At 41.6% G+C, this 16,959-nt stretch overlaps 1 protein-coding gene across 16 annotated transcripts in view; it reads left to right on the top strand.

Annotated features, from left to right (window-relative positions):
• SORCS1 (sortilin related VPS10 domain containing receptor 1) overlaps nt 1-16,959 on the top strand; it is a 607,476-nt gene that overhangs the window by 407,425 nt on the left and 183,092 nt on the right. For all 16 annotated transcript variants that reach the window (XM_017015617.1, XM_047424547.1, XM_017015615.3 and 13 more), the window contains exon 5: nt 12,053-12,126. In XM_017015617.1, the coding sequence (XP_016871106.1) occupies nt 12,053-12,126 (74 nt within the window). The remainder of the gene's footprint in view (nt 1-12,052; nt 12,127-16,959) is intronic.

The raw sequence follows: 16,959 nt of genomic DNA, 5'->3' as shown, positions 1-16,959 counted from the left end.
CCTCCCAAAGTGCTGGGATTACGGACATGAGCCACCACGCCCAGCCAGGGTTCTCGTTTTTGAAGGTGATATTTTGAGATGAACAGATGGGAAAGAGCCAGGCTTTCTACTGACCTCTCTGTTTCTTTAAGAGAGGATGAAGGATAAATCATACTGGAAAAAACACATCATGGATAGCCAGCTCTACAAGTAGGAATCAGAGAAGACCTCCGTATCTCAAGGCTTGAATCACAGAATAGGGAGTGGGGCATTCGCTGGAAGGGAGTGAGCCGCAGCCGTTAGCTGATGGCATTGGCTGGAAGTCAAGTTGAGAGGGTCTGTGGCCACTCAGGTGGGTCAGTGATACGGAAATAAAAGCTGACAGTCCCCCATGGGTCGTGGAACTTTTAGCACTGATGAGATGTGTGGCAACAAGGAGGACCATGTGCTGGTGTTGGCTGGCCAGTGACTGCCCTTGCCTAGGAAACAGGAACATTTATTCTTTCATGTAAGTATTGCTCATCAGTTTTTCTGTGACAGCTGCTAATGTCACTGCTGCAGATCTCCCAGCTAGGATCTTACTTAGTATTATCTCTGCTGGATGCTGTTTTACATCAAATTGTGGTGAACAATCCCTTAGAAAATGCATTATTGAGGTGGCAATTCCTATGAACAGGGTCCTCCTCTTTTCTCTTTTTCTTTATTTGCTGGCTTCCTTGTTTTTTTAAGGCATACTCTCCGTCTTTTGAACACATAGCCACATTTATTTTCCCCTTATCTCCCTGACATTGCTTTTTCTCTCCTTCAGTGCATGTGACTTTTAAGCTCCTAAGGACAGAGTTTGGAGCTCCGGCCTGCAGGATAGACCGTATATGAGCTGCGGTACCCTGCTCTAATTGTGTTTCATTTTGGGTGCCTAAATCCCAGTGGAGGCTTTTTGATGTGGGCATTATAAGGGACTCAAAGAGTTTTGTTGAACAGGTGTTCCTTTCTGGTCCAAGATAGAATTTTACTGGATATCAGTCCTATGGGAGGTCATATTAAGATTTTAAAAGGTGGTTTTAATCAGGGAAGAATGTGTATGGCCAAATGTCCTCAGAATTCACAAACCAAGGTTTTTGATATTTTTTGTTTTTACTTAGAAGGAGAAATCTATTTGTGATATTCAACATCTAGGTGGTTGTATTATTAAGGATTCTCCAAAGAAACAGAACCAATAAGGGGAGGAGAGAGAGAGAGGAGGGGAGAGAGAGAGAGAGAGAGATTGATTGATTGATTGATTGATTGATTATGGGAATTTACTCATGTAATTGTGGAGGCTTATAAGTCCCAAGATCTGCCATCTGCAAGCTGGACAACCAAGAATGCCAGTGGTATAATTCAGTCCAAGTTTGAAGGCCTGAGAATTGGTTGGGGGTGGAACCAATGGTGTAAGTCCTGGTCCAAGTCCAAAGTCCTGAGAACCAGGAACTCTGATGTCTGAGGGCCAGGGGAGACAGATGGATATCCCAGCTCAAAAAGAAAGAGGGAATTCACCCTCCCTCTGCCTTTTCTATTCAACACCTCCAAGGATTGGATGATGCTTGCCCACACTGGAGAGGGTGGATTTTCTCAGCCTACTGATTTAGGCACTAATGTCTTCTAAAAAAACCCTTACAGATATACCCAGATAAGTTTTATCAGCTCTTTGGGCATCTCTTAGCCAAGTCGACACATAAAATTGACCACCATCATAGTTGCCAAGAGGTAAATGCTATCTTGTCTGGGGATGTGGCTATCCAGGCACCACTAGAATGACTGAAAGGAAAATGTGTGGAGCCTTTTACCCATTGAAATTCTTAAATAAGTAGCCTGCGTTCATAGGAAACCCTGCCCTGAGACTTATCGAGTAAAGACATAGGAGCTGGACTTGGCCTCTGAAGGGCCTATGTGAGGATGTGCCTTTGGAAAGCCCTGAAATCTTCAGAAAAAGGAACATTATAGATACAATTATAGAGATTCTGTTTCAAATGGACAGGGGGCTACTTGGTGTCTACAATCCCACCCCTCACATTTTTAAAACAATGAATCCTTGTGGAAAGTATGAAGAATTCCATGGCATTTATTATAGGAGCACCAAAATGTTGCTTTCTTTTATTAATTTACTTTTTTTATTTCTATAATTTAAACAGTAGGCAAACCAAGCATTCTACCCATTTAAAAAAATTCTTTGCATTTGGAAACTGAGCAGATAAGAGAAAGGAGATATAGTCCTTTACTTCATTGCTAGCTGACTTTCTTGCCTCAATACAGGAAACCACCCAAGGAAGGCTTAGCAGAAGGCTGAGCCTGCCAGATTACATCTTTATTTCAATTTGGCAATAAACTAGTGTACAAACTGTGCTATAAAACATTGCCTCCAACGGCATCTCTCAGTCTGTCTTAAACACCTCACTAAACATGATGTGTTGGGAAACATTTGAAATGAGAGAAAACAAAGAGCAGATGTGACTGTAAGGAAATTTAAAAAAAAAAAACAGGAGAGAAGTATAAGAATCTGTGTATACCTCAGCTTTGCTGTCTATGCCGGGGTAAGGGCTCTTGGAGCCTCTGTTAGGATTTGCAACGGAGACGTGATTTGTAAAGGGGAGAGTGCCATGTTGTGAAACCAACATGAACGCTGTCAGGACTCTTGCTGCTGAGTGGCTGGAGAGCAGAGGCCCCTTGCTGTCCTTATCCAGACCTCTTCTTCAGGTAGCTCCAGAGAAGGGCCTGCTGCCCCTTACCAGGAGCAGGAAGGGCTGCTCTTCTCCTGTCCTGTGCAATTCCCACCCTTGTGGACGTTCAAGACCACGTAGAGCATGAACGCAGTTCCTATACAAACAGGCAAGAAGTACAACTGAACAAAACAGGCTGGGTCCAGGCTGTGGGAAGTTGGAGAGCAGGTGTTCATTTAGAAGGAGGGAGGGATATTGTCAAGCTCTAGCCTGCTGTTCTTGCCATGTAGGAAGGTGGGTCCAATGTCACCAGACCTTCAGAATTCTTTCTTTTTTTGAGAGAAGTAATTCTGCTTTGTTTTCAATGTGAAGTTTTCTTATTTTTATGTGTGTAACAATGACCTCAGAAATTTAAAAAGAAGCACTGCATAGGACAAATAAACCTCATCTGCTGCCCTGTGGTTGTCCTTTCTTCTTTCCCATTATCTTTGTTTTTCTTTGTTCATGGGTCTCTCTTTTGATTTTATTTGAGAAGATGTTAATTTTTTTTTTTTTTTTGCGATTTTTTGAAAAAAGTACATTCAAATAAATGATCGGTTTTGTCGAGGGAGAATAAAACTTTTAGGACAGTTTGGTGGGCCACCCTTTATTTTGTGGCAGTTCTAGAATATTTGTAAGTTTATATTGACTCGCTTATTTTGGAGCTCTATGAGTCCAAGTAAGAACATGTGGAAAACTTGCTTCATTCCTGATCTTCTTTAAATTCCAAAGGATCACAGTTTATGAAATAAACAGAAAATCCTAAGGCCTGTATGTTGGCCTTCCCTTCAACATTTTTTGGTACATATGTGTCAGATACCAAAACATACTTTTAAAGGCAGAAAACAGGCTTTGATAGGGAGGTTCTGTTTACAAATAATGGAAAATCTAATTTTTTCTTCTTTTTTTGAGACAGTCTTACTGTCTTGCCCAGGCTGGAGTGCAGTGATGTCATCTTGGCTCACTGCAACCTCTGCTTCCTGGGTTCCAGCGATTCTCCTGCCTCAGCTTCCCGCATAGCTGGGATTACAGGCACCTGCCACCATGCCTGTCTAATTTTTGCATTTTTTTAGTAGAGACTGGGTTTGACCATGTTGGCCAGGCTGGTCTCGAACTCCTGGCCTCAAGTGATCCGCCTCGGCCTCTGAAAGTGCTGGGATTACAGGCGTGAGCCCTGTGCCTGGCTGGAAACTCTAAATATTAACAGCTGGCATTCTCTTCAGAAATGAAGGCTGACTTTCAGTTAAAATCATATGGTGATAGAAAAGGAAAAATGGACTGCCAATGTGATGAACAGCCAATGACAGAATTTTAGTAACATGCATAAAAGTGAATTTTATTAAAAAAGAACTAATTTTAGTTCTCTGCCTTCTTTCTCTCTCTACCAGTCCTGCAATGTTTTTAAAGTTTCATATCTATTCTACATGTATATCTATAAACATATCTATAAACAAAAAATCTTCTCTTTATTCCTTTTAATTGTTCCTTTCTTTCTTTCTTTTTTTTTTTTTTTTTGAGACGGAGTCTAGCTCTGTCACCCAGGCTGGAGTGCAATGGCGCGATCTCAGCTCACTGTAACCTCCGCCTCCTGGCTTCAAGCGATTCTCCTGCCTCAGCCTCCCAAGTAGCTGGGATTACTGGCACCCGCCCCCACGCCCGGCTAATTTTTGTATTTTTTAGTAGAGACGGGGCTTCACTGTGTTGGCCAGGCTGGCCTCAAACTCCTGACCTTGTGATCTGCCTGCCTCAGCCTCCCAAAGTGCTGGGATTACAAGCGTGAGCCACCGCTCCCAGCCAATTGTTCCTTTCTTTTCCTGAGTGAGCCTTCACAGAAGGGCAATACTTATCATGGCTGCTTTCAATGGCAGACATTCCCTGGGAAATATTGACTACTTAATAAAGAAATAGATGCCAGCGCTTTCAAAATCTCAGTCATACTAAGGTTTCTCACCACTGACCGACAGTAGAGTGAGCTGGTAAGAGGATCAGCTCTCTGCTCTGTCACGTCCTACCCCTGCTCTGTGACCTTCAACAGGTCGTTTAAATGTAGTTTCTCCAACTGTAAAGTGGGAACAATAATAAGAGTACCTGGCTCATGGGACTATTTGATGATACTGAGATAACGCATGCAAAATATGAACACAGAGCCTGACACATAGCAAACATGGCATAGATGCCAGCCAGTGTATTATCCAAAGACCTGAAAGAAAGCACCCCTGGTGTGGTGCAGCTGGAATTAGACAAAGCATGTCTTAGGCAGAGGCTGTCTTATCCCTGTGCCTTTCCAGTACGCAGAGCTACAGGCACTTTAATCAATTTAATTTAAATGCCTTTTTAGACAATCACTAAAAGGTCCCATGGAAGCAGAATGAATGGAACAGGACCGACAGATATGTGGTACTTAGAAATATTATTGATTATAACAATAGAAAACCATTAAATATTAAAGTATTTATCTTCACATTAACTCTATTTGTTTTTTAATAGACCTAGCAGCCCCTTAATGTCAAAAGGGCAAGATTGAGATAAAGACAAATTGATCCTTGAAATTCAACCCCCTGGGGATATTCAAATGATTTCTGCACAAGCACAAACACTTAGGAAACTGATATCTACCTAATGCCATCATGTTTCCCCAAGGCACTGCATTAAGTTAAAAGGCACTCAGTTTTTTATAAGAAATATGTTGAGCATTATATACCATGCTGGTTTGGCAGGATTTTCATGTGCTTGAAATTTCCCAGTGTCAGATCTGATTTCTAACCTCATGAATATGTGAGTAATTTAAGTATCCAAGTACAAAACTGGCAATTAGAGTGGAAACCAGGGAGCTCGCTAAATGTCAACCCCAACACTTGTTTATAAAACGAATTCTCAAGCTGAAATGCCATCATATGCAAACAAGGAAGGCCTACTACGTTCACCTTAGATACTGTGTTTAAACAGGTTGTATCATTATTTTTCAATTGCTACCTGGAACAGTTTGATTTGCCTGTTTCTAATGATTTCGGGAAAAAAAAATAGAGCTACAAGAATAAGGAGAAATGAACATTTTAAAACAAGCAATTGGGTTTAAGATTTGAACAGGCACAATTGTGCTATTTAATAGTTTTGTAGGCTTTGAAAGAGAGGTATTTGTTTGTCCAAATTTTTAGCTAGTTCTTCATCTGTTCTATGCCACCAACGCTTGTCTTTAAGAACCTTTAAGGGGCCGGGCGTGGTGGCTCATGCCTGTAATCTCAGCACTTTAGGAGGCCAAGGCAGGCAGATCTCTTGAGGTCATGAGTTTGAGACCAGCCTGGTCAACATCGTGAAACCACCCCTCTCTACTAAAAATACAAAAATTAGCCGGGCGTGGTGGTGCATGCCTGTGATCCTAGCTAATGGGGAGGCTGAGGCAGGGGAATCTCTTGAACCCTGGAGGCAGAGGTTGCAGTGAGCCGAGATGGCGCCACTGTACTCCAACCTGAACAACAGAGCGAAACTCTGTCTCAAAAATAAATAAATAAATAAATATATAAGAATCTTTAAGGCCAAGATTTTATCTTATCATTTTCCTATATACCTCCAGACCTGAATGCACAGGAGGTGTTCACAAATCAAACTCGCCCACAGTCATATATTGGCCCTCCCTTCCCAACCGGCTCTAGTTCCGTAAGTCTAATCTTCCAAGCTTCAGAGTACCACCCTCAACTGTAGGGCATTTGACAGACTTCAGTGACAGCTGGGGAATGGGCAGTGACAAATTTGATAAATCCAGCTGTAGGAGAGATTGGTGGAACCAGCAATAGGCCATCATTCCTGCCCAGCCTTCATCAGCAAAGCCTGACTGTTCAGCTTTGATACTCTTATCTTTTGACCTTAATGACATTTGGATCCAGTCTACATCAGCTCCCCACAAGTATTGGTAAGATTGCACCTACCCAGCCTGGTTCCAGGCTCTCTTTGTAGCCCCAGCTTCCACTTCACTCTATTATGTATCCCAGCCAAACTGGGTCTCTTGCTATTGACCAAAGAAATGTGAGAACATCACCCTGAGTTTTGCTGCTCTGTTTATTTGCACAGACTGACCCATTCCCCTAGAACACTTTTTCTGCATGTCTTCATTCTAAGACATATTAATTGTATTACAAAGCCCGCTGTGAATTCTTTTGCAAATTCCAAACTTTTTCTCTACAACATAGGCCACTACAACACTGTGCACAAAATATTACACATTACTGTAGGTTGTCTGTGATATCACTAATACACAACATTTTCTTTGAGAAACTTAAATCTATTGGGGCAGGGTTGGGTGTGGGGGTCTGGATTGGGCATCATGGCTCTTTCACTATCTGCTCTCTGTACGGAACAGCCAAGTTAAAGACTTGTGTCAGCTCTTAGTGAAGTTTATGGAATCCTTTTAAGTGTTGTAGATTTTGGTTCCCCTTTGCATGGGTCGTGGCCCCCTCCTATGCTGTGGAACCAGAGCATCAGAACATACTTCTGAGGACCGCATTTTTCTCTGGACTGATTCTCTTTCTTCCTATTGAGGGTGATGGAAAAAAGAACTTGATATTTGTGATGCCTCAGGCCTGGCATTAGGAATTTATATGAAGTCCTTAAGGTACCATCTCTTTCTTGCTAAAAAAGGATGGAGGAACAGCAGTGAGAAGCAGAGAGTCATAAGGTGGATGAGTGCTTTGTACCCAGGCCATCCCCAGGGCAGTATTAGGATGAGGCAAATAAAATAGAACTGGCAGGATTTTCTGTCAGCCTTTTCAAGAAGTACAATTTGCAGGCCCCCTGCTTCCAAAATGTTAAGAGGAGAGAAGGAAAGAGGAGTGGGCAGGCAACCTTGAAAAGAGCCGACAGCAGGATGTTTTCCGCCAACACAGGCGCCTCCTAAGGAGCCTGTGTGGAGGATCCCCAGGAAACTACCCCTTGACCGGGGAAGCCACCGTGGGAAGCTTTGTGGTGAACAACATCTGGTCCCATGAACCAAAGACTTAAAACGTTATCACAACTCTTAGCTTCTATGGAATTCTCGTAGCACAAATTTCTTTGAAATGGATGCTCTTTCACTCATTTCCCAGCTGCAAAAGAGAATTCTATCACGTGCACCTGTCTAACAATCTGAAAAGAGAGGATACGTTGATCCGATTTAGGAATATTGAAAAGACTTTCTAGGGACACTGACAATTGCAAGCTTGTGGATCACCACAAGGAGTTGAATTTCTTATCTAGTAGCAAGTTGTCACTCTTCTAGGGATTTAACCAAAATGTGAATGTTAAGGTGGAAATGAAAGTTGGAAATGGCTGCTACCCTTCTCTCATCCCATCTTCATCTGCTGTAGACTAGGAATTGAGCAAAACCAGTGCATCCCATTCTTTCCCTCCCCCAGGCTATTTTGCCCTGCTGTGGCATCCCTCTTTGTCAGTGCCTACCACCCAACTGGCAGCTCCAAAGACATTCAGAGGATGGCGCCAGAGATGCCTAACAGTTGGCTCAAAGCTCTCAATGAAACTAACCCTGGCAATTTCATCCTTTGGAATTAAGTGTATTTTTATCTGCATTCTTCTTAAAGCAAACAAAGACAGATGGCAAGGAAACAAGCCAATGTGAAAGATGTCTTAAAAAAAAAAACCCTTCAGGAGAGGAACATGTCAGGATAGAGAGAGAAGTGCTAATAGCCCCAGAGTAGCATAATGACAGTGTGGAGGGTTAGGCCCTAAGGCTGCTAATAGATCTTGAGCACAGGTGAGTGTTGGGTTTGTGCTCATTAAGTTGTATTTACTAATGCAATGTAGTCACAGATACTTTAGAATGATTTTACACAGAAAGGATTTTCTGTGTTGCATTCTTATTGCAGATATAACCAGAATCTTTCCCTGTTCTCTAACATTTCTGCTCCTTCAGTTCTTTTTCAACATTTATACTAATGTTAGCTAAACAAAATCAAACCCAAGAATGGCTTTTTTTTTTTTTTTTTTTTTTGAGACAGTGTCTTGCTCTGTTGCCCAGGCTGGAGTGCAGTGGCGCGATCTCGGCTCACTGCAAGCTCCACATCCCAGGTTCACACCATCCTCCTGCCTCAGTCTCCCGAGTAGCTGGGACTACAGGCACCGGCCACCACGCCCAGCTAATTTTTTGTATTTTTAGTAGAGACGGAGTTTCACCGTGTTAGCCAGGATGGTCTCAATCTCCTGACCTCGTGATCCGCCCGCCTCGCCCTCCCAAAGTGCTGGGATTACAGGCGTGAGCCACCGCGCCCGGCCAAGAATGGCATTTTTAAGTTCATGACACGGCACTAGTAGAGGAATAGTGCCCTCCTAAAACTAGTTTAAGTACTCTTTCATTCTCTTCCTAATCTTTCTATCTTTCTCTAAGCTTGGCATAGCTAGAGAAAGCTGCTGCTGCTTTCTCTGATGTGACAGATAGTAATGATAGTTCTCAGTTCCGTGTTCTGACAGTCAAAAGAAACCTTGGAGTCAGAGACAGACAGGGAGGGAAATAAATCTTACTTAGGTGCTGCCAACACTATGAATTTTATTAAAGGACATTGACTCATTCTACAGGGAAAGCCTTCCGCTGGTGGCTGAGACAGTCATTGGGTAAAATGCTTTGATACCATTCCCTTCTTTGTGGAGGAGCACTTTGCTTCCAGACTCTGTAGGTTTAATTAACACGTTAACTTGAATGGCAGAGTTGTTGTTTTCTTTTTGGTCGGTATAACACCAGGCTGGACAATTAATTTTTTAGGGAGAAAATGTCTGAAGTAGTAGGTGGAGAATATAGAGCAATTTTGTCTAAAAGTGAATATTCAAGACTCTGCTTTCAAATCCTTGGGAGTTTCAAATATACTGATATTTATAGGGTTTTGTGGATGTGTGTTTTATTTGTTTTTTAGGTATACGCCTCTAGTTATAAATCCATGGAAGCAAAACATATTCCTCTGATAAATTTTCTTTGTACACCAATTGTGAAACCTGTGTTCTCTATTAGGTAGAAACGTGACTAGGAAATTCACGTGGTACAAAATCATTATCTTTTTCCTTTATCATCTACTGTGTTTGAGGCACCCGTACACGTAGAAGGATAGGATTTCCAACATCTAAAAGCTTTGCAATCTCATTAAAGAGGCAGGAAGTGGTCTTAGATATTTTAGAGTAATTTTAGATAGAAAGGAATTTCTGCCTTGCATTTGTGAAAGGTTCTCTTGAAAGGCTATTAAGAGAATTAAATATAAATACGTGGCTGGTAGTTTGATAGCATCTGCTCTTGTTCCACAGTTCTTTGGAGATGAGACCGGTAGGAATCTTAGTAGGTAGAGGAGGGTTCATAGAAGAGGTGGCCTTTCATCTGGCTCTGAAAACAAGACTGGTGTTGAAGAAGGAAAGTCTTGAAGCCACTTCTGCCAGAGTGGGCAGCCTCAGTGAAGGCGTAGCAGGGCATGTGTGAGAAGGTGACAGGGCCAGCCCACCAGGACCGAAAGTTACCTTTGGAGAGAGTAAATTGAAAGAATCTCAGTAAGCTGAATAAGAGAGGCTTGGTTTAGTGGATTGTTTTGTATACCCACCACTTGAGGGGCCTCTATATGCTCACAAATAACAAAGTTGCTCTTTGAAGATATAAACAAATGTCATGGGACATACCTGAGTGGTCCACAGGCTCCAGATTCAAGCTTAGGGGATACATTTAACAAGAGAAAAAAAGAACCACAAACGCTGGCGCCCAACAATTCCTCACAGAGATGAATTCTCTGTGGGAGCAGGAATAGCAATCCTTTGGTATAGCCATAGGAGCACACAGAGTTTATATATTATTCTTGCAGCATGTATATGAGTTCAGCCTGTTACCCAGACATATTATTATTTTGAACTGTCCTGATACTTTTACATTTGCATTAATTTTTGTATGTTACTAAATATCGATATATCTATATGACATAGGCACACCACAATGGTATGAACTCTGTTCCCTTTAAACTTATAGAAAGAAGTAGAGCTCCGGGCTTAAAAAAAAGAAGACAAAGGGGAGAGAGAGAGAAGCGGATACTCTCGGGTTGGGTGCCTGCTGTTGTTGTACAGTCCTCTGTGTTGAAATACCAGGTGTTCAGGACATGCTGAGAGCAAGAAGCAGGCCATGTATACACTGGCTGTTTGAGTTCTCAGTTAAGACAGTGTGACCTGTCCCATCTTCTGTTATCTCTATGAGGGGAGTTGTCACCCATCTCTCCTTGGCACTCATAAAATATATCAAACATGAAATGTACCCAGGAAACCAGTCTCCCCCAGGCATGATGGCCAAAGAATGAATAATAGGCTGGGCACGGTGGCTCACGCCTGTAATCCCAGCGCTTTGGGAGGCCGAGGTGGGCGGATCATGAGGTCAGGAGATCGAGACCATCCTGACTAACATGGTGAAACCCCATCTCTACTAAAAATACAAAAAAAAAAATTAGCCGGGCTTGGTGGCAGGCACCTGTAGTCCCAGCTACTTGGGAGGCTGAGGCAGTAGAATGGCGTGAACCCGGGAGGCAGAGCTTGCAGTGAGCCGAGGTCACACCACTGCACTCCAGCCTGGGCGACAGAGCAAGACTCTGTCTCAAAAAAAAAAAAAAAAAAAAAAAAGAATAATAAAAAAGACTTAGAAAGAAAAAGTTACAGATTCTCCTTGGCTAGATGCCTGAATAATGTGTAATTATTACTTAGATAAGCTTACATAGATAAGCTAGGCTTATTTATATCTTGTCCCTGTCTATCTTACCACTTTAACTCATGTTGTTCCTTTTGTGAATAATGCTATTTTTGTCCATTTGAATGCTGTCATTCGTTCAGGTCCCAGCTGTTTCACCACAGCATCTGGAAAGCATCCCTAAATTGGCTCCTGTCTTCTGCATTATTTTCTCACTGGCTGCCTCGTGCATTTCTCATTATGTGAGCCAGGTTCAGGTTACATTGCGTACTCTTCCAGAACCAGGTCTAGATTTTGCACTTCTTTGCATCACCCACAATGCTCAGCACATGCTAGGTCAAGTGGCACAGCTGACTTTATCGCCAGGCAGAACAGGGTGTGCATTCCAGTTCATTCAACCACTTCTTTGACATGTAATTTCTCACAAGTCGGTTAATCCTTCTAAGCTTCAGTTTCCTCAACTGTAAAATGATGATATTAGTCTGACTTGCAGAATTTGTATAAGGAATAGAGATGGTACACATGGAGCACTCACCTTGTATATGGCAGGTGTTCAGTAAATGTTGGGTATTATTATTATTACTATTGATCCAATGAACTGATGTTTGTGTATTTGATGTACTATAGAACCATAGTGCTGAGTAATTTCTGTTCTTTACAGTTATACAGCTCTGCTGAATTTGGGAGAAGATGGCAGCTTATCCAAGAAGGGGTTGTACCAAACAGGTTCTACTGGTAAGTCTCACTTTATCTTGTAGCACATTAAGATATGACCTAGTCAGATATGACCTAGTAAATGCCCATTGGAATCTTGTTCTCACCAGTGCTCTCACATAAGGTCTGTTCTTATTGGGACATGCCCACATCCCCTCAGGGCAGGATGTGACATTAGAGTAAGAAACACTTTAAGAGAATGTTAAAAAATGTGTCACAGTCTTCTTGAAAAACCTCAAATGGATTATGGAGGTTAGTGAACTGCAGGGGCTTTATGAGAATTGCTTTGTTATATTTTGGTGGAACCTTTGAGACAGACATTTAAAAAAATCTAATAGTGACTTTTTATTATTAAAAGCATTATATACACATATATCGCATATTCAGATGAAGATTTTCAGTCTAAATAAGTAGGTTTTATTTAGTCTAAAAGTAGATCTTCCTCTCATTCCTGATTTTAGATCTTGTAGGCCTTCTCCTTGTTATTTATTTATTTATTTATTTTAGACAGTCTCACTCTGTCACCCAGGCTGCAGTGCAGTGGTGCGGTCTGAGCTCCCTGCAACTTCTGTTTGCTTTGTTCAAATGATTCCCCTTCCTCATCCTTCCCAGTAGCTTGGATTATAGGTGCACGCCACCATGCCTGGCTACTTTTTGGATTTTTAGTAGAGATGGGGTTTCACCATGTTGGCCAGGCTGGTCTTGAACTCCTGACCTCAAGTGGTCCACCCACCTCAGCTTCCCAAAGTGCTGGGATTACAGGTGTGAGCCAGCATGCCTGGCCGGCCTTCCCCTTGTCATGTGGGACACAGTTGCTATTGCTAGTTTCTCAATTATCTTTCTAGAAATGTTCTGTGAATTGCCAAATGTGCGTGTGTGTGTGTGTGTGTGTGTGTGTTAGTGTGTGTGTGTGTTTGTGTGTATGTAGTCTTACTTTGCTTGGGTTGCCGTAACAGAATACCATAGACTGGGTGGCTTAAACAACGGATATTTATTCTTCGTTGTTCTGGAGGCTGGGGAGTTCGAGATCAATGTGCCGGCAGATTTGGTTCCTGCTAACGACTCCCTTTCTGGCTTGCAGATGGCTGCCTTCTGTCTGTGTCCATACATGGTAGAAAGAGAGAGCTCTGATCTCTCTTCCTCTTTTTTTTTTTTTTTTTTTTTTTGAGACGGAGTCTCACTCTGTCACCAGGCTGGAGTGCAGTGGTCTGATCTCAGCTCACTGCAAGCTCTGCCTCCCAGGTTCACGCCATTCTCCTGCCTCAGCCACCCAAGTAGCTGGGACTACAGGCGCCCACCATCACGCCTGGCTAAGTTTTTGTATTTTTAGTAGAGACGGAGTTTCACCGTGTTAGCCAGGATGGTCTCGATCTAATGACCTCAAGATCCCCCCACCTCGGCCTCCCAAAGTGCTGGGATTACAGGCGTGAGCCATCACGCCCGGCCTCTTCCTCCTCTTATCAGGGCATTAATCCCATCATAAGGACCCTATCCTCATGATCTAAGCTAAACCTAATCACTTCTTAAAGGCCCTATTTGCAAATACCATCACATCATAGTGGGTTATGGTTTCAACATATGAATTTTGAGGAGACAAAAATATTCAGTCCCTAACATATATAGATAGAGATACTTGCATTTACATAAATGGTAGCTGTGCACACTGTTCTATGCCTTGTTTTTTTTTGAGGGATGCAGTTTATTATGCATATATCATTATTTTTAGTTAACTACATATCATTTTGCTCTAAAAATATAGATTGGAGGTAAATCTTATGCCTAATTAATGCAAAACATAAACTATATATGTTAGCGGGAATCTGTGTATGGGAAAAGAGAAATACGTGAAGAGAGAGAGAAGGGGGCAGCAAGAGAAAGAAAGGGACAAAGGAAATAGCATTCCTTTCTTTAACTGCCTCAGTTCATCCCCCTAATTAAACTAGAGGTGGCTGTGTCCATGGGAATGGGTGGGTAAAATTGAAAACAAGAAAAATATCAGAAGTTAACTGTGGCTTTTAAGTTTCCAAGATCTTAGATTCTGGCAAAGTAAGAACAAATCACAGAACATTCTAGTGTGATTTTGATATTAATATTTATCAATACCTTTGAATGTACATCCTACCTCCTGCCAAAAGACGTGATTCTACCTTACCCTAATTTCTCTAATCTGCCTGTGGAAAAGACATTTAGGTTGTTTCAAGATTTTTACTACTATAAACCGTGTTACAAGGAATTGGCTCAGACAAGAGTTTAAATATCCTTTATTCATGTCATTTAGAATCACTGTGACAGTGACCTTTTAGGAGCCAATGATCTCCCTGTAATGAGGGCAGTGAAAGTATCTCCTCTTGATTCCTCCTGAAATCACACTGCCTCTCATCAGCCTTTAGAGTTACAGGCAGAATAGATCACCGAAGTACATAATAGCTTCCCACCTCCACTCCAATTCTTTCGCTTTTATATGAACTTCTAAGAGGAATGCATTTTTATCTTTCTCATTTTCAAACACTGCCCTAAAACCCCTGTGGGAGTTGAAAGCCAGAGAACTACATTAGAGAAATCTCTTAAAAAGCTAGCAAAACTGCCTGAAAAAGTTAGACAAGCTATTTGCAAACAAACTGGCTCAGAGATAACACAGGGACTTCTATATGGTAAGATACCACTTTTTCCCCTATCATAATGAGACATTTGTAACTAAAGGAGGTTTTTGTTGCACAGAAGCTTATTTACCTCTCTCCCTCTGGTGCTCTTGTTCAGGATGCTGTGAGCCTTGCTTCTAAAGTCCAAATTGACATCTTCTTTCTCCAGGATCTCAACTCTGTCTCTTACTGAATCTTCCTTCTCTGGTCAGCGTTTTTTTCTCCCTCTCTTACTAATTTTGTATCGTATTCATGAGAAACCTTCATCTCTGTGTGTTTTACATGTAAAGTATAAAGTTAGTTTATGGAAGAGAGGGTTCATGTCTTTTTCTTTCATTCTCTCCCTTTTTGGGGGTGTTATATGTGCATAGAAAGGCCTCAGAAAGTAAGCAAATGAAGGACTGAAATAAATGAATGTTGTCCCCCTAGTTTATCCTGGAAATGGAGTTGCTGCTTTGCTAATGAAAAAGCATGAGGGACAAATCTTTTCTCAAGTCCTACTTTCAAATGACTGCAAATATCTGTACATGGTGCCCAGAACTAGAGGGTAGGAAGTAGGGCTTGGCAGAAGTTGGTTCCTACCAATAGAAACAATGAAAAATATTGAAAGGATGGGCAAGAGAAAGGAACTGAGATGAGAACACTTCCCATGTAAATGGTACATATATACAGTGTTTTCTATGTCACCAGAGGTCTTATTTATGCATTATTATAACCTGAACAGACCTCACCACTGCTTCCGCCAGTGCTAATTGCAATATTTTCTTTCCTATTCCTTGAAGAAGGAATCTTCTATGTGAAAGCTTGATCAGCAAAGCTCTTCTAATCAAAAGCCATAAAATTATTTTTATAAAAGCCATTACACATTATTGTATGTGAATTCTGATTGATGTGTTAAGTAAAATAAATAAAACCTCCTTCTTTTGTTTTTGAATACAGACATATCTTGCCCATTCACGTCTTAGTAGTGCAACAAGCACTACTTAAACTTAAGCTATTTAATCCTCATAACAACCTTCTGAAGTAAGCTTCTCATTATCATCATTAACAGATAGGGAACCTATGGCATAGAGAAGGTAAGTAATTTGGCTAAAGTTACCCAGCTGGAAAGTGCCAGAGCCAGAATTTGAATGAAGGCTGTCTGTCACCACAGTCTGTGCTCTACTAAATCAACAAATGCTCTTGTCTCTGCCTCTTAGCCTTACGTTCTTGGCTGGGACTGTGAGCCCTGGAAATCTAGCCCACTCAGGCATATCAGTGGTGAGAGCCCAAAGTTCTTTTGACCACAGTGCCAACTGTGCTTGTCAAATGGCTCACAAGGGTTCCTTAAGCTTGGATGATTTTTCTAGAGAAGGCATGGGAACTCGTAAATTGCATAGTACCATGACTGTTGATGAAAATCTCGGTCTCTGCCCACATGGTCTGTATTTTCTAACTCTGAGCAACTACCTTAAGCTGACAGAAAAGTTGTCAATCAAAGCAATATTTATTAGACTCACTTCTGGAAACCAGTTACTTCAAATTATGTAGGAACTATGGGGCTATCTAGGATAATTCAGCAAGCGTAGTTAAAAGAAACCTCCTTTAATCATTTCTGCTTGGAACCTGGCTATTGGGGGTGTGTATGGGACTGAGGGAGATTTCTCTAGTGTTAAATCAAATTGTTAAGTTACCATGGGTAATAACATAGAATTTCCCTAGAGAAGAAATGAAGGCAAATTCATATTTTTTCCTCATCACCTAACATATTGATAATTATTTTTATTTCTGGTAGCAATGGTCATGCCACCCCTGGAAGTAATAAATAGCAATTGTGAAATAATTATGGCATGCAACAGCTTATTCTTACGTTATCACAGTGGTTTCTGATAATGTTACCAAAGCACTGGAGGTTTGGTCAAGACCCTACTGCACACAAAGCCAGTCACTGAGACAGCAAGTATTGCCAAAGAAGAAGGCTTTAATCAGGTGCTGCAGCCAAGGAGACGGGGGCTCAGTCTCAAATCCATCTCCCTGGCTAAAAGTATGGGTTTATATAGCAGGAAATCAATGTAACAGGGTGTAAAACAGGAACTAGGGAGGGGCAAGGAGGCATCTGGTTCATGATCTGGTGAGTTTCAGTTCTTTAATACTTTTTTTTTGAGAGGCTTGAAGATCCTTTCCTGAGGAAGGAACTCAGATAAAACAAATACAAGTTTCAAGCTTTAACAGCAGA

Source organism: Homo sapiens, chromosome 10 (genome assembly GCF_000001405.40).
Source record: "Homo sapiens chromosome 10, GRCh38.p14 Primary Assembly".
NCBI lineage: Eukaryota > Metazoa > Chordata > Mammalia > Primates > Hominidae > Homo > Homo sapiens.
Note: the sequence above shows the minus strand (reverse complement) of the source record. Positions and strands in the feature narration are given on the sequence as shown.